General features: G+C 38.2%; 1 protein-coding gene and 2 long non-coding RNA genes across 3 annotated transcripts in view; 2 read left to right on the plus strand and 1 right to left on the minus strand.

The window, feature by feature from the left end:
• Nucleotides 1-22,076, plus strand: part of KCNB2 (potassium voltage-gated channel subfamily B member 2) — a 401,125-nt gene that overhangs the window by 193,784 nt on the left and 185,265 nt on the right. The window lies entirely within an intron of this gene.
• LOC101926908 (uncharacterized) lies at nucleotides 1,037-20,835 on the plus strand. The gene is made up of 3 exons (NR_110656.1): nucleotides 1,037-1,093; nucleotides 18,330-18,397; nucleotides 19,239-20,835. It is a non-coding gene; the product is annotated as an uncharacterized LOC101926908 (long non-coding RNA).
• Nucleotides 18,363-21,455, minus strand: LOC124901963 (uncharacterized). The gene is made up of 3 exons (XR_007060964.1): nucleotides 21,373-21,455; nucleotides 19,398-19,498; nucleotides 18,363-18,424 (listed from the first exon to the last, which is right to left on the minus strand). It is a non-coding gene; the product is annotated as an uncharacterized LOC124901963 (long non-coding RNA).

Consider the following 22,076-nt stretch of genomic DNA (forward strand, 5'->3'; position numbering starts at 1 on the left):
TGTTGTGTGTCATTTCACTAAGGGCTAGGAAATGATTGCTGGATGTGAGATGTGGATCCTGAATGATTCTGTTGCAGTGGCCAGAAACTCACACTTCAAAGAACTGGTCTATAAAGGTGGATTGGATGGAAGGGTGAGTGAGTGAGTGGGGAAGATGGAGAGAGTAAGAGGAAAACATCTTGCATCGTACATGTATTATCCTATACTTTCAGAGGATGAAATGTTTTGGCTACTCACATGTTTCACTTGCAAGAAAGTCATCATATATATCAGTGATGAATAGTTCACTTAAGAATTAACATACAATTAAATACACTGAAGACAAAACCATATTGGACATAATTAATTTCTTTTAATGATTCAGAAGGCATTTCAGAATCTGGCAATCCTCATTTTGAACATTAATCATCATTGTATGTTAAACATGGAAGTATCTGCCAAGAGAGTTTGCCCATTAACCAAGTGTTACTGTGCTTTTAAAAATATTTCACAGACAAGAAGACAGCAGCTTCATATAAAAGTTACTAGTTTAGGAGCTGCTTTGGGCAAGGCCACTTCCTCAAGGATAAATACTGTGATGCAGTGTGGCGCTTAGTCACAAGTGAGAGGCAGTGTTCAATGTGAGTGTGAACATATCATTTGACCTTTCTCAGCTTCCGTTGCCTCTCAGGCAATGTGGAATGCTAAGGCCACTCCTCTCAGGACAACAATGAGAAATGAAGAGGAGAGAAAAACAGATCATAAATCAATATATGTCACAGAACTTCTAATGGAAAGTGTTCTATGTTTGTACAGATAATTGATTTTAGAAATTCTGATTCTTTGATGTCATGCCTGGTAAGCTAGATCTTTGCCAATTTCAGTCTTGTGAGTCTGGGGCCACTTTGGTTTCCTAGGAACCAGCTGCCTAAAGATTGTCTCTGCTGAAGTCATATGTGGCATCTGGTAGCACCCATGAGTTTAGCTAATTAATCTTTGTAGAATAGAAAAGGTTTCTACACAGTTAGATGTGAGTTCCCTGCTGAATCTCCTCCTTCAGATGCCAAGAGGAAGCCTCTGTTGGAAGTCACTGCAGCCAAGTGGATTCTATCTGGTACAGGGTGTTTTGTTTATTTCCCACAGAATATGTTTTCTTTTATTCTGTTGGCCTTGGGAGTTGAGCTGTCTGCCATAGTAGCTTTCTTACTTGTCTGTACAGTTGTCTATTCAGAGGCAGCTTATTATATGTCTAGCTGCAGGTCTTTAGTTGGAAGGTGCTACTCCTTAGCTAGAACCTGTGAGCACTACAGTTTATCGGTCTGTCAACTCAAACTCCAACTTTACAAGTGAATGTGAGGCAGAGCCCGCTTGTGTGACAAGCTGTAGTGGTGTAGTGAGTCTTCACTCCTCCCTGACTCTGCTGCTGAGAGGCAGCCCACAGGCTTCTAGGAAATGTCTGGCAACATTGTGCTGGTCACTTTCTATCCTTTGAACATTTAGACATTGCAAGAATATGTGACTAACAGAATTGAGATATTAGTTGATAGCTAGATTTGTTTTTCAAAGGATTTTTGACTGCAAGAATTGATGAGCTAAGAAAGTACTTAGAAGCACCTAGCCAGCCCATATTTACAGCAACTGAGATGTTTCAGCCATTGCTGGTGATCCTGTGGACTTGGGGAAAGGAGTAGGTTGCATAAGCATGACTTCCATCTATTAACTGTTTTTCAACCATGCTTGAGATTAATATTAAGTATAAGGCATTATATTAAAAATAAGATGTGTAAGAGCATCTTGTACCTCTCTAAGACTAGGCTGCCTACTCAGCCCTGGTGCTATGATGGTACTCCATGAGATGTCCCTGTCATAAAGTATATCATCCTGCACTATCACTTACCTGTGGCTCACCTCTCTCCCCAACTAAAATGTAAGCACTTTGAGAGTAGTAATTTTATCTTTGCATCTCCAGCACCTAGCACTCTGCCTGATGTGTTGAAGATGCTAAAAAAAAAAACAGAACAGATAAATGCATGAAAAGATAAATTAACATGTAAGAGAAAGGGAGTAAGGAGGGGAAAATAGAGAGAAGGTATGGAAGAAAGTAGAACAGAAGGAGGGAAGGTCATACAAACGTGAAGGTTATTGTTATTTAGTCTGAGCAGATGTTATACTAAGAGTTGTAACTTCATTTATCACCTTTAAGCTATGTGTTCACATAGTGTGTTCAGTTTTCAAATAAAGATTTAGCAAAATGATATCCCTTTATTTACTTTTCACTTACATTGTCTTTTTAAAATACAAGCCAACTAGATTCAAGAATTTTGACTTTGGCTTTGGTGAGACAAAGTGTAGATAATTGACATACTCCACCTCAACCAGGATGGACTTTCAACCAGGACATGCAATGAGTCTTCCATTCTTGACCAAACAGGAGGCAGCCTAGCATAATGGGTGAAAGCATGGGTTCTGCAATCAGATCTGGGTTCAGAGTCTACTCTACCACTAATTAAATATATGCCCTTGAATATGTGATTTATCTGAGTCATCATTTCCTCATCTGTAAAGCAGGGATTATAATGACTGTAATATAGGACTGTCAGCAGACTCAATGAAGTTTTGCCTGTAAAGCATTCAGAATGGTACCCGGCACCCTGTAGACATGTTCTACATGTTGACACTCCAAAACCATCCCTTTCCAGGAAGGTAGTCGTTAGGACAGCAAGGAAGAGGAGTGTTCTGAGCTGATCACCCCAAGCTGCAGTTTCTGATTGTAGCCCCTGATTTTTGATGTAGCCCCCCGTTTGGTGTGGATGACTCGGAAGGCACCTGCTATGAGCACTGAATTCTTGGAGGTGGGAAGGGGGACAGGGTGGTTGGAGGGGGAAGCCTGACATTGAAGTGAACTAAATCTGTGCAAGTGGCTATTTTTGTCAGCCCAGCCACAGTGGGTGTGTGATCGGGCGTCTACTTTTGATCCAGCTCTTTTTATAGATGCTGCTTTTTCTTAAAGGCAACTCTCCTCAATCGTCTCCCAGGCTGCTGAGCTGATTTGGAAGATTGCTTACGGAGTATTTATCATCTGCAATCTGGAATAGAAAACATTTATATTAGTAATTAGATACTCCTTTAAGATGTAAAAGCAGTCTCATTATCAACTGTAGCATAGATTCAGTGTAACGGTATTTTATCCATAAAGACTACAAACACAGCATTATCATTTCAAAGGTGCTTCATATTGTCAGCCTAGGCTCAACCTGTACAGGCAGCTTTGGTGAAAATAAGAGCCAACATCAGTACATCCCAGCAGCCTATTGTCTTTATTCTTATAATGAAACTTTGACTTCAACCATTTCAAAATATGTCCCCATTATTATCACTCAGACTGGTTCACTTAGAATCCCCTAGTTCTTTCCAAAGAGCATGTATATGAAGTTACAAACTGTTGGATATAAAGGGAGGACATCTGTGTCATTTGGTGCTTTTAAATATTTTTTAAAGAATTGTCTGAAATCTTCCCTACCTGTATTGACACACTGAAAAGGTATTTTTAAGAAGCTGGATGCTACTATGACGCCTGAACTACAGGATCCATAATACGATACCAGGTGTGTCTCTGGTAACCATGAATGAATATTCCCCGGGAGAAGAAAGCTGAATGAGGCTCATTGCCATGCCCCCTGAATGTCTTCAATACCAAGTAGACTGAACACTACGTCTTGAAAGAGGAAATCAGTGTCAGTCAGTGAAGACGTGCTCTAGGGGATTACCTGGCTGCATGGTGCATGGAGCACCTCATAATAACAAGGAAGATTTTCGACAGCTTCAGATAAAGGTCAGCCATTTCAGAAAACTCTGAACTCTTTTCTCCCTTGTTCTTCCCCACCAGGGCCAGGCAGGTGGTCCATGCAGGCTTGTGCTAATGAATTCGGCAGCTTGTACTGTAAGAAGTGCGTTTTCATTACTATGAACAAAACAGGCTGCAGGGGGAATTTGATAGGTGGCTTCCACTCAAAGGACAAGATGCATTTATCTGAAGGCAATTCAGTGGTTTATAATGGAAAGCAGGGCCCCTTTGTCTCCTTGTCACAATCTTCCTGTGAGCATCACCATGATTCATAGTCAAATTATAGTCACTTTATACCAACCCAGCTATTTAAATCACAGACTCCCCAATCCACCGTCTTCACAATTCTAAATGGCATCCAGGAGTGAAGTTCCATTATTTAACACAAATTGTACAAATAAGAATTGGTCACCAGGAAGTGACTTTTTTTTATTATTTCTTGTGCTTTGCTATAGATAAGTATTGAGGCTTTTAAAAGTACTTTGATTAGAATCACATCATTTCCCAGAAAGACATTATTTTGCTCATAAAAGTCATTGTGTATCTTACCAAAAAAAATGGCAATAATTTCCTATTTCCCCGCAAGAAATCTGTACATCACCCTTGATACTCAGCTCGGGTAAAGGTCTCACATGCAAAAACAGCTGAGGTGATAATGTAACAAGGTATTGTCTAGATCAGTGATTCTCAAACTTTACTGTGTGGTAATGTCATCTAGTACAATCGGCAAAAATTCAGACACTGAAGCTCATTCCTACTTCATCAAGGCTGACCTTTCTATTCTGTATGTTCTCTCCAGGTATTAATACATATTGGACTAGCTAATTTTATTTGCTTAGTATATTAAGAAGAAGAACAATCCTGGTCTGTCTTTTGGGAGCAGTAGGGCACAGTTTGTGTAGGAATATGCATGTAATAGACACAGTATGCATAGCAGTCTTTTACTAAATGGATTGCCAGTCCCTTAGTCTTTTGATTTGTTCAGATCCAACAAGATTGCTGTTAATGGATGTTGTTAAGATGTATCGCAGAAACTGGGCAGAGTGGGCCAAATTTCATCTTTCATATAAATTATAGCTTCCCAGTAAATCAAACTACAAGTTGATAGACAAGTTGTTTGATGATTGCTACTGCTTAGAGAATACGGTATGGAAACAATTTCCATATATTTTTGCAGGCCCACAAGATTTTAATCTGTGATTCCAAAATTCCAACAACACTGAAAACTGAAATATTTCTCAAGTTTTACACCAAAACTCACTTGACAGCAAAACTTGGCCTGAACTGATGTGAGGCTACTAATAGCCTTTACTTATTGTATAATTACACAACTTAATGTGAATTGAAACATTTCACTGAAAAAATATAAATGATTTGGATTCTCTGATGGCCATATTATACAAATTCAATATATATAACCTATTGTCCCTCTATCATTTAAAAAAAAAAGCTTGAAATCTAAAATATATCTGGCCCCAAGATGTTTGGATATGAGGTTGTGGACCAGAAATATATTATTCTATTTTGACGATGGAGAACTGGAGGACTTGTCTCCTACCTTGGTTTTATCCCAAGAGTTGTTATTAGTAAAATTCAACAAGATAATCAGTTTCCAAGGTTCATTAGTTGAAACCTAAAATGATTAACTCGTCTTAAGAATCCATGACAAGTGTTAATGTTCATTCATTACTCAACCATGGATTCTCCTTACATTTGTTTGACAAGATGCCATGTTTGAAGCAAACAAAAGAAGAGTTTGCTTGGTTTTCAAATTCATTTCTTATTATCCCCTACCTTCCAGCCAACTCTTTCAGCACCCCCGCTTCAGTCTCTATCTAACAAGATACAAGGATAATGCATTCTAAATTAACCTAAAGTTTATAACTGAAATTGAAATAAAGGTAAATACAATGGTAAAAACTGAGCCAAGTTAACATAACATGTGATTAGTTATTTTGGAATGATGTCAGAGATTTCTTTGGGAGCACTCTACTGCAGCGGACCTCAACTGCTGAGAAATTTAATATTATTCCTGCTGTAGTAAATGTACTGGTGATTGCTTGGAAGATATGCTCCTTGAAAGAATATACATATATAAATATTTTTCTATCCTTGTATATACATTTATGTATGTTACATGTTAACCTAAATAATTTATAATTGTGCTTTACAATTGTGCAGCATTGAAATGTAGTTGCTATTTTTTTTTTTTGCTCTTTTGTTATGGTTGTTTTTGTTTGTATTATTAGGCACACAAGAAACCAAGGTGACTGAAAATTTACAGTTAGTAAAAAATACTCTTTCTCAGGATATTTAAGCATAAAATAAGCTTTGTGAAAGAGTCTAATGATAGTTCTGATTTTTTAACATAAGCTTGGATTATAGTTTAGTTTGCAAATAATTTCTGAACTAAATAAACAGCAATGTACTTGCCTTCCAACTAAGGACCATTAGTTGTGATTGATCATATCTGGATTTTACCAACTATATTAAGCAATAAATGCTTCTTTGGGCAAAATTGATAGCCTGTTCTGATTAAAATCTTGGCTTCAATTCAGAGTTACTGTGGGACAAGGTTACACCTTCACAGCTTGTAAACATGGCTACTTAGCAGTGTTCATTAATGCAAATTAGTTGAAGATAAATGTTCTCAATAGTTGTATTTAAAGAGAATGTAGATCCTTCTGTGATGTTTTCTAGTACATAGCCAGATTCAATGTTTAGTTTCAGCTATTATAATTGGCAAACTTCATGGCAGCATGGAAGACATCATGATTGAGGTATTGAGTTGCAAATTGAGTCCTCTGCGGTAAGATGGGAAGATTACTAAATTTATTAGTACTAACTAGTAGTTGGACGTGGCAATGGGGTGGACTGGGGCAACAGTTGAGGAGGACTGTCTTGCTGTAGGTTGAAGAACAGACAATAGTCTGCATTCCTTCTCCTCAGAAGAATACACAAAACTCAGTTCTTCATGGTTACAGAGCCTTTAACTCCTAACATTTGTTTTTCAGATTCCCTAGTTTTGATGGCATTTCTACTATAATTTAGAAACACCTCTATCAGGTACCACTAAAAAAATATCCAAATGAGATGCAGGATTTTCCTCATTTTGGAAATGGTGGCCCTAGACCCACTTTAGCCTTGCACCATGCATGTATAATCCAAGAATTTCCAGACTATTTATATCAAAAATATACCCGTTTACACAAATTGACATACTCTAAACCAATATAGTTTTCAGAGATTCTTTAAAAGAGTTCTCAACTTGAGGGCCTCTCTGAGAGATGGGGTTTGGGTAGCCAATGCTCTGTTATATGTAAGAATTGTGTATTTTCTCCTGGAAGATGATCCATAATGTCCACCAACTTCTCAGAGGCTCCATGACACCTCAAGAAAGGTTAAGAGCCCTCATTTTAGAGGAAATGGCTACCTACAATTTCTGAACTACAAACATGTATCTTTCTGCTTTTATTAGAAGTTTGTGCCGACCTTTAACTTACCCTGAACTCTGACTGTAGGCAGGAAGCCCCTCTGGGAATTGATCACCAAATCATAACCTGAGTGCTCATTCTATCAAAAGTGACTTCTAAGATTGTTTCCTGATGCTTAAAGGACTGTTGTCTAAGTTGTCTTCTAAGATAGCAACTGCCAGCCCCAAGTTTGTTTCCTCCTTCTCAGCTCTCTCCAGTGTTTGCGTCTATCCTTCAGAGCCAGCCCCGGCTATGTGTCACTGAATATGCCAATGCATTAATGTGGGGAGCCACATAAAGCCCTTGATGCCCTCTGCCAATCCCTGGGAGAAAAGCAAGTCATCTCTACTCCACTCCTTGCTGTCCTGCTGTAACTGCACACAGTTGGCATGTGGTGATTAAGATTAATTGGTTGCTGAGACTTGGTGGTTCTGGCAAAATGCAGCTCAGTACCAGGGCACAGAGGGTCAAGTTTGAGCATCCCTGGCAAGATAATAATACACTGAACCAAGAGTTAAGTTTAAAAGAGTTTTATCATATTAAGTAACATCTATCTTCTAGCCAGAGTTTTTCTTCAATAGGGGCATCTGGGAACATTTTGACATAGGATGTAGTTTTCATTTTGACATCAAGTTTAATAGGTTTTTAAAAAAATTATTTACATATTCCAACTATACCATTTATTAGGATTAAAAGATTCTTTTCTTTCTCTTTGAATTTACCTTTCAAGTAACAAGTGACTGATCCTGGCTTTAGGATATATTGTGGGTTTCAGTGTATCTGTTTATCTCACCTATATCCTATATGGTTTCATAGATATCACCCCATAATCACTCTGACCTACTATGTTCTCACTCAAAGTTTCTTCTTTTATAGTCAAATATTTCAACCCTCTGGAAGAAAATCTGCCTACCATCTGTCTCCTCCCAACCCCCACCCCCGAGAACTGGAATTCATTTAATAAATATTTATTGAACACCTATTATGTGCCACGGTTTCACATTAGGCACTGGGGACAAAAATATCAATGAGGTATGGATCCTTACTCACTTTTTGAAAACTATGGTGACAGGGGAATTAGACGAGTAGAGAAGTTTTTCAATACTTTGTGAAATTGCTGGCATAGGGTTAAAGACATAGATACAATAGAAACAAATTGGAGGGCACAAAACCTTTTAGGGAATAGAGAAGACTTCTTAGAGGAGAAAACTTTTAAAGAAACATGTAGGAATTAAGCAAAAGCGAGTGGAAGTGCATTTCAAGCAGAAGGAATGGTCTGGAGGTGCAAAAACGATGATAAATCTGGAAAATTACATATGGTTTGGTATGGCTGGGGCTTTGAGTTTATAGAAGAATGTGCTAGAAGATGAGCCTGGAAAAATAAATAGAGACCAAGAAAAAGGATTCCCTAAAACATGCCAAAAGATTTGGACTTTGTCCTGTAGATCAAAGGAAGCTTTGGAAGAAATAGAAAGGGTACTCAATCATCAGTTCTATCAGTAGTACCATATTGTTCACCCTTTTATTTTTTGTTCTGATTGTTTGATGGGAATTCTAACTTTCTAACTAAACAGAAGAGAGAAACCACATAAAGTTGTGCCATGTACAATACTGTACACAAAACAGACATTTAGTGAATATTTGCTGATTGATTTATTGGAACAGTACAACTGCTTCTAGATAGCTATACTTTGGGCCTAGTATAATGATGTAATGAATAGCATTTTGTAAATACTCTTCTGAGAGTTTCAGAGTCTGTCTGTTAAGAAAAAAAATACTTCCTTGTGAACGTATGTGTTGTATCTTCTTTCTAAATTTGCTTGATATTGATATTCTTTGAGCCTGGCTAATATTCAATGGTAGTTAAATTCAGATCAAGTTGAATTATTTGTATGATGTTTGAAATTGTGTCATATCAAACAGGTACTGTTTTTATTGACATATTGACACTGACCCAGAAGAGAAAATGAGGTGATCATTCCTGTAACAGATTCAGAACAAGATTTATGGCTAGGGGATATAAACAGGGACCCATGTGTTGAACAGTAGGGCTCTTGGAATGCCTCAGATCAAGATTCAGCTCTCAACGTAACTGGCTAAGGCTTCAAGTTCTTCAATAAGAAATTGAGGCCACTGTCCCCTACTAAAAAGTGAATATGGCAGAGGAAGATACCCTATTAAGCCATAGTAGTCATTCATATCTCATATGAATAGGCTTATAAAACCCTTCCCAAAGAGCAAGTTCTCATGGGGAAAAGATGAGAGGCCCATGAACAAATGGCTGCCAAAAGGAAGGGGCAGAGCAGGAAAAGGCTTAGATGGAGAAATACAATCTTGACTTTCTTCACAATGTGCTTCCAGCCCTGAACTCTCCTTTGAATGCTTTAGTCTGAATTACAGCCAAAGAAAATCCCTCAGCCTATCTTTAAATCCTAAATACTGACCTTTCTTCTCACAAGATCTTATATTTGTCAATTCTTCCAACTACAATCAAGCATTTTGAAATTTATGTGACTTAACTATTTTTTAATATTGACAGGTAGAGATTTGCAGCAAGAGAAAAATGAATTATAAATTGTTCCATGGTTTACATCCTGAATATTGTAACTTTGGGTATTTTAATTGATGTCTTAGATGTCTCACAGTTTGTAATCTGTATTTCTCTATTCTCAAGACATGTTTACTTTTCAGATCCATTTTCAAACTGTGAACTGAAATACCGAAATACTGTTGATTACTAAAATGAAGAGTTTTCTCTTTCCATTATGTTTTAATTTCATGTGTTTTCTATATATCCCTTTTTGATTGTAATCTGACATTTCATAGAAGCTGATTCTGAACACATTGATTTGAAAGGAAGAAGACCAGATTTGGAGCCTGCCTTCCAGCCTTGTATTCTGCCACTTCCCCACGAGCACTGGCTTGTGAACTACCTGCAGTTTCTAGAATGTTCCATGTACCTTTGTACTTAGGAGCCTTACCTTTGAAAATCTCCTTCTGCCCTGTTACCTGCTAAGTTCTTACTCAGCCTTTGATACTCAGTTCAAAATCAACTCTTTCTTTACTGCCCAGGTAGAATTAGTGACTCTCTTATCTGTGCATATATTTCTTTTCTTATTATTATTATTTCAATAGATTTGAAGGAACAGGTAGTGTTTGATTGCATGGATAAGTTCTTTAGGTGTTATTTCTAAGATTTTGGTGCACTCATCACCCAAGCAATGTACACTGCACACAGTGTGTAGTCTTTTATTCCTCATTCCACCCCCTCACTCTTCCCCCTTGTCCCAAAGTCCATTGTATCATTTTTATGCCTTTGCATCCTCATATCTTAGCTCCCACTGGTAAGTGAGAGCATATGACATTTGGTTTTCCATTCCTGACTTACTTCAATTAGAATAATGGTCTCCAATTCCATCCAGGTTGCTGCAAATGCCATTATTTTGTTCTTTTTTATGGCTGAGTAGTATTAAACCACAATGCCATACCACCTTACTCTTGCAAAAATGGCCATAATTAGAAAATCAAAAAATAATAGATGTTGGTATGGATGTGGTGAAAAGGGAACACTTTCTACACTGCTGGTGGGAATTTAAACTAGTACAACCACTATGGAAAATAGTATGGAGATTCCTTAAAGATCTGAAAGTAGAACTACCATTTGATCTAGCAATCCCACTATTGGGTATCTACCCAGAGGAAAATAAGTCACTGTATGAAAAAGACACTTGCATGTGCATGTTTATAGCAGAACAATTTGCAGTTGCAAAAATATGGAACCAGCCTAAATGCCCATCAACCAACATGTGCTTATATTTCAAATTGTGTATATTTCTGCTACCCTGTTTTTACATTATATTGTTATGGTTTCAATTAAGGCTTCTTTAGATTTTGCCATAGTTTAAAACTGTATTTGTTCACCATTGATCTTTGAATCCCATTCTTTCCATCTGAGTAGAAGTTTCTCCTTCTTGAAGTACATTCTTTAGTAATTCAGCACAGGTCTGTAAAAATTCGTGTAGTCTTTTTCTGAACATGTTTATAATATTGCTTTCTCACTTGAAAAACAGTTTAGCTAGGTAGGGGTTGTCTTTGCTTAGGATTCCTAATACCATAAGGGTGGTATAAATTAAGACTTTACACCCATGGCTGGTGCAGCCTTGGGATTTCTATTTATCACTGGAGACACCTCCCACTTCACCACATTTCAGAGCCACAGGCAGAATACGCTGGCCTGCTGCCTCTCTGGCTGGCTGATCCCTCATGCCAGCTATGGGCATCCAGGTGGCCTCTAACTTCCCACACCACAAATAATGTGGTGATCAACCTCCTCATCCCCTTAGGTACTTGTATCAGAAGAACGTTTCCTGTCCTCCTGTGCGTGGAAGGGGCATTTTCTCCAGAGACCTGGCTTTCTGCAGCATTCTTCATTGCAGCTTCCACTCACATCTCACATCTCCCATCCTTGGCAGAGTGGGCCAGAGCCAATGCACGGGATCCTGCAGTCAGCCTATGACTTTACCCATGACGTCTGACGATAAATTCTTCTTTCAGACTTGGCTCTGTATTTTTAAAAAATGATAGCTACACTTTAACAGCATTTATAAATGTTGCCATTGGGGTTGGGGTGGAATCTATACCAGCTCTGTCCCATATGTTCCCAGGACTAGAAACATGGTATGGGCTATGTCTCACTCAGCCATGAGCACCTTTCAGGCAGATGACGACTCTTAGTCATATTTTATTTTTAATGAAGTGCAGTCTACATCCATAAATAAAAGAAAGAGGACATGGGCTCCAGGTGAAACCATGGATATGTCACTTACTAGTATTAGAATGATGGCCTCAGCCTGTTCATATATAAAATGAGGACCTTGAATTGCAGCTAAACATTCTGAAAGATATTTTCTAGCTGTAGTATACTATGACTTTAAGAAACATTAAGACAATTCCTTATGAAATGTTAGACACTAAAGTTGCCTGTCCATAATCGAGTTATAAATGTGGCAATATTCTAGGCAGTTATGGCCCAGAGAGAAAACACATGACTACTTGTGTGTGTCATCTCTAACTGTGACCTGTACCTTCCCTAGTATACGTTGAGTGTGTTGCAAAAGACTGCGTGTGTTTATCTAGAGAATAAATATTCAGGTGGAATGCCAATTTCCCTTTAAAAGCACATTCTTTGTTTCAAAAGACTGTATTGGATGGCAGTTTAAAAGGGATCGCAGCTAGTTAAATTTAGGGTGTTGAACAAATTCCAATCCAAGAATAATCCTTGGCGCTGAGCCCATGGCATTTTTATTTGATTCTAAATTGGATAAATTGTAACTCATTTAAATTACTTGCTTTCTGTATTTTTTCTTCTGAGACAGGCAACCAACCAATGGTATTTTTTCTGTCTTTCACAAGACAGTGAAATTATGACATATTGTATATATACTATCACATTTCCTGTAAGTTTCACATATTATTATACAGATTCAACTATACTTTAAAATATGTCAATCACATCAGATAAAATCCTACTAAAACTTTGCCCTTAGAAAAATATGAGAAAATAATTGCTCCATAAGTCTTTTTCCTGTAGTTAAGATGGCCTTATATTTCATAATGTAGTTTTAGTGAATTCGGGAGCCCTAAGTCTTATTTTCCTATATATTTTTCACCAATTTCTTTATCAGATTTTGTATTCTTCTTTTTATTGGGCGGGGGGCTTTATGCTTCCAGAGAGACAATATTAACTTTTAAAAATAATATAAAAAAAGAAACCAGCCTTTTATCTATTTTGTTGAGACGGTTGAAAGTGATTTAGGGATACTATTTGAAATCTGGGAGAGGATAGATCCATAAAGCCGGGAATAAGAGAAGACCAAGTGCAGGACTTTGAATGAGACCTAGTAGAGAGCAGAAGGAGCCACAGAAATGACTGCAGTTTGCTCTTTCATATGTGTATGTGACTCAGTTTCCACAGTTTCTTAAGAGAAGAAATGAGTATTGTGCATTTCCTAAAAGCCTCATACCACCTACCACAGTGAGCAGCACTTGGTGAATGCTATTCCACCATTCATCCAGTAATAACTGCCAGTTACTATTCCATGGGCCAAGGACACAGTGTAAACAAGGTAGCTGTAAAGCCCATGTCATCACAGTGCTTATGTTAGGGTTATTTGTGTGGGAGAGGTGGAGACAGAAATATATTTATAACAAAATATAGGAATAATATAATATCTGTAGCAGTAAGCCCTTTAAAGAAAATAAGCCAAGTAATGGGCTAGGAAGTAGCTCCAGGATGGGGCTAAATAGAGGAAAGATGGGGAGCCTTTCCACTCCCTCTGGATACCTCTGGAAGGAAGTAATATTGGAGCTAAACTGTCCATGCTGAGAAGGAACTGCCACGTGAATTGCTTAGGGCCGAGCATCCCAGAGAGAAAACACAAGTGCCAAGGACCTGAAGCGAGAACAAACTGAGAACAGCTGAGCAGTAGTAAAAAGGCTAATGTGGCTGGAGCCTAAGGCACAATGACAAGAAAAAGCCATAGGGGTAAGCCAGATCCTGAGGGCCCACAGCCAGGAAAGTTGTTTGAAATGTATTCTCTTTGCAATGGGCTTATAGGCTGCCCCACTGGATCCTGTGTGTCTTGTCCTCCCACTGCTGTGGCTACTGCCAGCTTCGCTGAGCTGCATGGTCCTGGTTGACAGAGTCCAAAGAGACTTAGGACATAGGCAGAAAGAACCCAGCACACTGCTACTGCAGCTCTCTCTTTCACCTCCTGAATTAAATGTGCATGTTGGGATCCCTCCACCTCCCTGATCCAGAGAGAACTGGTGCCAACTACCCACCCCACCTTGGGAAAGAAACCTAACAAGTAGAAAAGCTGCACTAATAAAATAAATCTGCAATAAGGAGTTTTTTTAATCCTAAAAATATGTGCAGTGTTAATTAGGAGAGAAGGAATGTAAGAGAAAATGAACATGCATATTTTTATGGCATGCATGCTCCTAGTTACCCAGGGGTTAAGGGCACAGTCCTCCATAAGACTGTCCTCATTTCAGACACCAGCCACAAATTCAGAGCCCCAGAGCCACGCTCACTCATGACCAACTGGCCACAAATTCAGGCATTCCTACTACCCTTGTAGGTTTGATAATTGACTAGAAAGAACTCATTGGAAGCACTGTGTTTGTGATTATAGTCTTACTGAAAAAAATACAAATTAGAACATATACACATAGGGCAAAATCTAGGGTGATTTCAACCATGAAACTTTCATCATTCCCCTCTCAGCACATTGATATGTGACAGTATGCAGCGATTTGCCAACCATGGACATTCAACCTGGGCTTCACTGTCCAGAGTTTTTAATGGGGTTTTATTAAATAGGCAAGACTGATTGGATAAGAGATCAGAAGGTTGATCTCTGATCTCCAGCCCCTGCTGCCCTCCCCAGAGATGGAGTTGATATCACCTGGCTTGGAGCTCCCACCCTTTAATCACATAGTTGGTCTTCCTGGCATAGCCAGTCCCCTCCCTTCCTGAGTCACTTCATTTGCATAAACTATCAGGCACCGGCTCAGAGGCCCACCATGAATAACAAAGACACTCTTATCACTCTGAAAATTTCAAGGGTTTAGAGGCTACCTCCCAAGAACCAAGGACAAAAGCCAGTCAAATTTTTGCTTGCATACTAAAACTCTCAAATCAGATTTGTAATCAATTATCTGTTCTGTGTACTAGTCCTGAGTACAATTTAGGTTGCTTGAGTATTGCAGAAGCAGTACTTGTTGCTTGAATTTCATGGCAGGCTAGAGCTGTGGGATTTAAGGCATCATTATAAAGTACTACAGATTTTTGTTATTCATCCTAGGCATTAAGCACCCCTTTCCCAAGCAGTATTTCTGTGTGCTTCTTTCCTAGCTGACAAGCATCATGATGCTACTACCTCTCTCCTCTACCAAGTGCATGTTGTATATTTGCCTATACCTGGCAAATGTTACATTGAGCAGATGACATCAATATTATGAAAAGTGGTGAAAGGCAACCCTAGCTTGTCCTTTTGTCCAATTGAGAGTGGTCATAAATAGAACCTCAATGTCCTTAACATTTAGAACCAGAAGCTGCTGAAAACTCTTTAAAATGTTCTTGTCTACTAAAGAAAAGACACCAACAAACAAAGAAATATAAAACAAACAAACAAACATGGGTGACTCAATGGGGAGATCATGCAGAGAATTTCATGTCTGACGGCCTAATGGTCTGGGAGACATGTGGCTTCATCTACTGGTTTTCCAGATGACCTTGAGCAATACACAGAAACTGCCTTCTGTGCTTCCCGACATGTGTGACAGCTGTAAGGTACAGCCTCAGAATGATTGCACTGCTCTTTGAACGGCTGCAATATATCTTTCTGTGATTGCTGGGCCTGCACTGACCTGAAGAACTCTGTGGGAGATGATGGCCACATGACGGCTAATTTGAGGTGGAGAGCCACAAAATTGAATCACCCAAATGTTTCCAAGCAGTGAGTAGACCAACCATCCAGAAAACTAGATTTTCTTCAAACTAAATTTTATTGTCTTGGCGCCTCAGTTTAATACCCCTTCTCACTATTCCAGTTCATTCCAAGTGAAGGTTTTTCTGATCACAATTCCTGAGGAAATCTGATGTCATCTTAATGGGTTTAGTGGGGTGTTTTAAAAGGGTACCTGGGATTTGTTTATTGAGATGTAGAAAGACAACCGACATGGAAATGATTGTCATGAAAGAAGTTTTTTTATACTCACAGATCCCTAGAAATGGAAGGCATGACACATATTTCACCACCACAAAGGGAAGCCCCAGGGGCTGTGTCAGGAAGCAGAGGGAGAGGGAAGAAAAAGGAGCAGAAGCCACTGTTGTGGTTTCTGCCAAAGGAACGGGCAAGGCAGGGCAAACAGGTTTAGTACTGGCTAGTTTGAATAATTTCAGCAGGCTCTGGGAAAGAGGAGCTGTCCCTAGTTGCATGGTGCCTGGCCCCATGGTGATTAGGGCAGATGGACAGTGAGTGGCCCAGATCGTAAGAGCTTGAGCTCCATAGAGGAGGTGGTTGGGGGTATGGGCTCTGACTGGTTGGTTTGCACATGAAAGGCAATCTCCAAGACAAGTTGTGTACTGTCTGTGACAGAGGCATTCCCTCCAGGGTCAGTCCTTCCAGGTCAGCAAGGTCTCAAATCTCAAAGTGTTACCAGAAAGGGGTCCCAATCCAGACCCCAAGAGAGGGTTCTTGGATCTCTCACAAGAAAGAATTTGAGGCAAGTCCATAGAGTAAAGTGAAAGCAAGTTTATTAGAGAAGTAAAGAAACAAAGAACCTAATTTATTTCCTGAATTAGAGATTCTGTAGGTTCTGTATCAATAAAACCCCTTGACTTTGCAAATCCAAAATCTGAAACTACAGTAAGAAAATATATTTCTGAAAGAATACTGTGATTATTTCTAAAAGCAAAGGAAACGAACAAGATAATTGTCAACTTACTGTAATATTGTCATGCTTAGCATAAAGTTCAAACCTAGATGATGCACTTTTTATTTTAGAGAGCAATTGAAATTATATGTTGACACCTTTTTATCCACTCAGTCAAATAAAGCAACTGCAGTTTTCTTCTGTTTAGGAACAATCTGGTGCTTCCATCTTCAAAACTGCTATTTACTTATCAACAGCTTTGTTCAGCTCCCCTGCTCTTTGGTCAAGTGTGAAATTAGAATGAAAACAGGGTGGTACCCACAGATAGTAAGATAATAAAAAAGGCAAAGAAGGAGTAAATAAGATGATTAGAAGAAATAAGCAATATAATTTAAAAGTGGACATGGATTATCTTAATTTAACATGAGTTTAATTTTTATTGTTATAACTTCTTTGAACATCCTTCATGTTAATTTCCTCATTGGTTCAAGTCTCATTGACCTGAAAAACGTGAAGTATTTTTTTTCCTTCTGAAGACACTTACTGAAGTAAATGTAGCCTCTAAGATGATTTTATGTCATTCAGCCTTGTTCTATCAGATAAGCTTCAACAGACCTCCCAACCTTTCTCTGTTCTGGATGATTGCAAACCAAATCCATTAGAGGAGCAAACTGTCATTGATTCGTTTTATAATATTGAATTTTGTCATGATAAATCTCATGCTATTTTTATTTCAAAGATCTGTAAGCATTCAGTGCTTTGAGGGGAAGGGTCTTAGAGAAGAAGGATGAAGTTAAGTAAATTAATATTTTTCCAATCCTACTGAATTTACAGAGTACTGAACTCACTTTGGTTTTTTTTTTGTTGTTTTTTTTTTTTTGAAATTAAAAGCCAAAAACCATGGAGTTTTATTATAATGGTTTATTCATTTTAAAAATCTCTGATTTTTTAAATTTTATTTTTATAATTTATTTACTCTTTCTTATTTTTATTGACAACAATATTATATACTTATTGTGTACATGATGTTTTGAAATATGCATACATTATGAAATGGCTCAGTGAAGCTAATTAACATATGTATTACCTCACATACCATTTTTTTGCAGTGAGAACACTTAAAAATCTATTCTCTTTGCAATTTTTGAAACACAATACATTGCTATTAACCACAGTCACCATATTATTCAATAGATGTCTTGAACTTATTCCTCCCGTCTAACTGAAATTTTGTACCCTTTGACCAACACCTCCCAACACCCTTCCTCGTAATGGTTTTTTCTGATGTACATAATGTGTATAGTACTCCAGAACCTCAGGGTCTTTTCTAGTCCACTCATAGATTCTACTCTGACCAATCATTTTCGTTTTCATTTTATTTATTTATTTATTTTTTGAGACCAGGTCTCACTCTGTTGTCCAGGACAGAGTGTGATGATCACAGCTTGCTGCAGCCTCCAACTCCTGGGCTCAGTTGATCCTCATGCCTCACCCTCCAGAGTAGCTGGGACTATAGGCACATGCCACCATGCTCTGCTAATTTTTTTTTCTTTTTAGAAGAGACGAGGTCTCAATCTCATTATGTTTTCCAGGCTGGTCTCAAGCTCCTGAGCTCAAGCAGTCCTCCCAACTCAGCAAGGGATTCCAAGAGTGACCCACTGTGAGTGGCCTGAACCAGTCATTTTCTCTGAGAGTGTGAAAAAAATGATTTTTAGCTGGTGAATGTGTTTTTATGATAAGAAATGATCATTGTATTTTTACGGACTCCATATATAATGTCCTTTGCCCATCTCAGCAAAGGAACAAGAAACTATTTTTAAACATAAATATAAATACTTATAAGCCAACCTACTTATTATTGCCTAGAACTATTCAGACAAGAGAGGTAACATTTTACACCCAAAAAACCATGATATTGCTTTAAAAGATTTTTTTACTATGTAATATTTGGCGTATACAAAAAAGTAATATATATATATAATATAATACATATTACTTTTTTGTATATGCCAATATATATTTGTATATATACAAATATTATATATAATATATATAATATATAATATAATTATATATGATATATACAATATAATTTTGTATATATTATATATATTTTTATATATATATACATCCATGTTTTAAAACATAATAATAAATTAAATACTCATGAACCAACCAAACAAATGAAGGTGTAGAATATTAGTAATATCTATGTGCCCCTTCCCTGCCTCCCCACACTCACAGAGGTCCACTAGAGTGAATTTTGTGTTTATCAAAGATTTTACCATCTATATTTACAGACTTAAACTACATACTCCTTAGCTGTGCTTCTTGTTGAGCATTATAAAAAGTGACATCATACATAGTGTCATAGTGACTCTACATGGTCACAACTGTATATAACCTTCTGTGACTTGCTTTCCTCCATAACATTATGTGTCAAATATTTATCTATTTTGTTACATGTCACTGAACTTCATTCATTTTTTCCTATTGTACAGCATTCTCTTATGTGGACATCACAATTTACCTGTTCTCCCAGCAGTGGATATTTGTGTTGTTTCCAGTCACTTGCTGTTATCTCAGTGCTTATAAATGATTGTTTCTCTTACACCCAGGAATTCCATTCCTGGGTTATGGGTTATGCTTATTATGCTCACCTGCACAGTTGAATTTCAAATTGTTTTCCAAAGTGATTAGACCTCCTTCTCCTTCATCAGCAATGTATCCCATTGGTTCTTTGTATGTCAAACTTAGCAGTCTAAGGAATAATTAATGTTTGCATCACTGAACTGATTGGGAATACTTGTTTCTGTGAGTTACTTACTTTTCAAGGTCTCCAGAGGAGACTTTCAGGCCTTAGTAAGGTCATTACAGCACATTAATTTTGTCTTCTGGGTTTCTTTACTTGGTTTTACTTTAGTTTGCTCACAGATGCCCCTTCCAACCAAGCACCAGGTGCTTAAGGTTTTCTTCCATAATTAGTTCCATCAACAGTTTTTGTTTTTTATTTCCTGAATACACGTGCGTTAATGGCTACATGTACTTTCCTACTTATACAGGGGCAATAACCACCTTATCAACAGTAATAATATTGACTAACATTTATAAAAATCAAATGATATCAGTCACTCACTTATCCTTCTCTCCAGTTTCAGCCAGGAAACAAGTGAAATCGAGATATGATATCGCATTTCTGCTTGTAAAATTGCGTTGGAGAAATGGAAAAACTTGGCCCCATCCTTATTCAATCTGTCTCCAGTTACTCCTGGAGAAACTTAAGAAGGCTACCCTGCCTGTATCAGGGGTCAGGCCCTGACTTGAGAAGCTTGAAGCTTGGTAGCAAGAAGCTAAGGAGGAAAGGATATTCAGCTTCAAGGGATGCAGGTAGGAAGCAGGAGACAGAGACAGACAGACAAGAGTTGGAGACTTAGGATCCCTACATTTCAGTGTAGCAACCCCATCTCTGGAAGCCATGGCCCATTGCAAGCCAGACTCACAACAATCACATAGCTCTTCCCTCTTCCTATGGAGGAAATGGACCACTCTATTAAACACTCTGTATACATTATCCTATTTAATTTGTAAAACATTCTTATGCATGGATATTAATATTTCATTACAATGTTATAGATGAAGACACTAAAAGATTACAGACATACTGATAATTTCATAGCTAAAAGTGATAGAGCTGAAATTTGAACTCAAGTCTATTGACAACAGAACCCAAAAGTTTAGCCTCTTCCCTATACTGCGTCTTCTTAACAGGAACCTTCTGGAAACCCTGCCTTCATTCAGCAAACTAACTATGCTAAGGTAAAGACCTGGCACCAAGGCAAGTCATAAGGAGATGCCTCAGGACTTCTTGGTTCCCCTAAAAATATATATTGTGCAATCGTCTTTGACTTCAGAATTCCAAATTCAGCATTGAAAAACTAGCTTAGTAATGTTTCCACTTAGACATTTTAGTACTTAATTAAATGAATACCCATGTGAGGCTTATTATGTGCCTGGAACTCTTTGGATTGCCATCTGAGCCCCCACCTACATGCACATGTACACACATGAACACATATACACATATGCCCATACACACACAAAATGAAAAAAAGACATATTGCCCACCCTCAAGAAGTTTGAAAGCTAATGGAGGCCAGGAGGGAAGAAGGAGAAAACATTTCATCCAACAACTTTAAGTGTCTTCTTTAGACAGAGCGAGGCCTGTGGTGTACCTGGGAGAAACATGAAGAAGGAGATGGATGCAAGAAATATTCAGGATTCAAATGATTGGGTAGCCCAGTGCATATTGGTGTGATAGAAGTGAATGGTGAGGTCTGGGTGAACTCCCCACTTTCAGGCTTGGATGGCCAGGTGGTATCATTTGCCAGGAAAAATAATAAATGGGGGAAGAATAGGTTTAAGGGAAACATGGTTAGTTAAATAGACAAGTGTGAAAATGGCTGTAAAATAAAGCCACCATGAAAGATGATCATAAAACTCTGTAGCTATTACCATAGAAGCTATGATAGTTAATTTCATGTGTCACCTTGACTGGATCAGAGGTACCCAGATGTCTAGTTTAACATTATTTCTGGGTGTATTGGTGAGGTGTTTCTGGAGGAGATTAGTACTTACTCCGTAAAGTAGATGGTCCTCTTTAATGAGAGTGGGCATCATTTAACCTATTGAGGGTCTGAATAGAACAATATGCAGAGGAAGGAATTTGTCCTTCTTTTCTCCCTCACTGCTGGAGCTGGGACATCTCTTCTGATCATCTACTGCACTCAGACTGGGAGTTACACCATTGGCTCCTCTAGTTCTCAGGCCTTCGGGCTCATACTGGAAGTACACCACCAGCTTTCCTAGTCTGCCTTGTTCAAGGAGCTTAGAGTCTAGTCCAACTTGTAGATGGCACGTCGTGGGATTTCTCAGCCTCCATAATCACATGAGCTAATTTCTTATTTTATATGCATATATCGATATAGATATATTTCCCATTGGTCTGCTCTCTGGAGAACTGTGAATAACACAGAAGCTAAGGGCTTTTTACCAAGATAAATGATCATTACTCCAATTTCCAATCCTTCCAAGATATCACACACACTCTACTCAGGTTCTTCCAAGACACTGTGCACTGAACTCTCAGACAGGACACCTAAGCTCTCATGAGTTCCCATTTGCTTCCTTCTGGAATATCATAAAATCAGTGCTGACATTTAGATGACATATTTCCATTTTTTTAGCTTCTGAGACCTCAGTCTATGAATCAAAATGTTAAGCACTGAAGGAGAGATTCTGTCCTGAATATGTCAAGCTGACAACGTGAGGAAATATGCATT

Source organism: Homo sapiens, chromosome 8 (assembly GCF_000001405.40).
Source record: "Homo sapiens chromosome 8, GRCh38.p14 Primary Assembly".
NCBI classification, from domain to species: domain Eukaryota; kingdom Metazoa; phylum Chordata; class Mammalia; order Primates; family Hominidae; genus Homo; species Homo sapiens.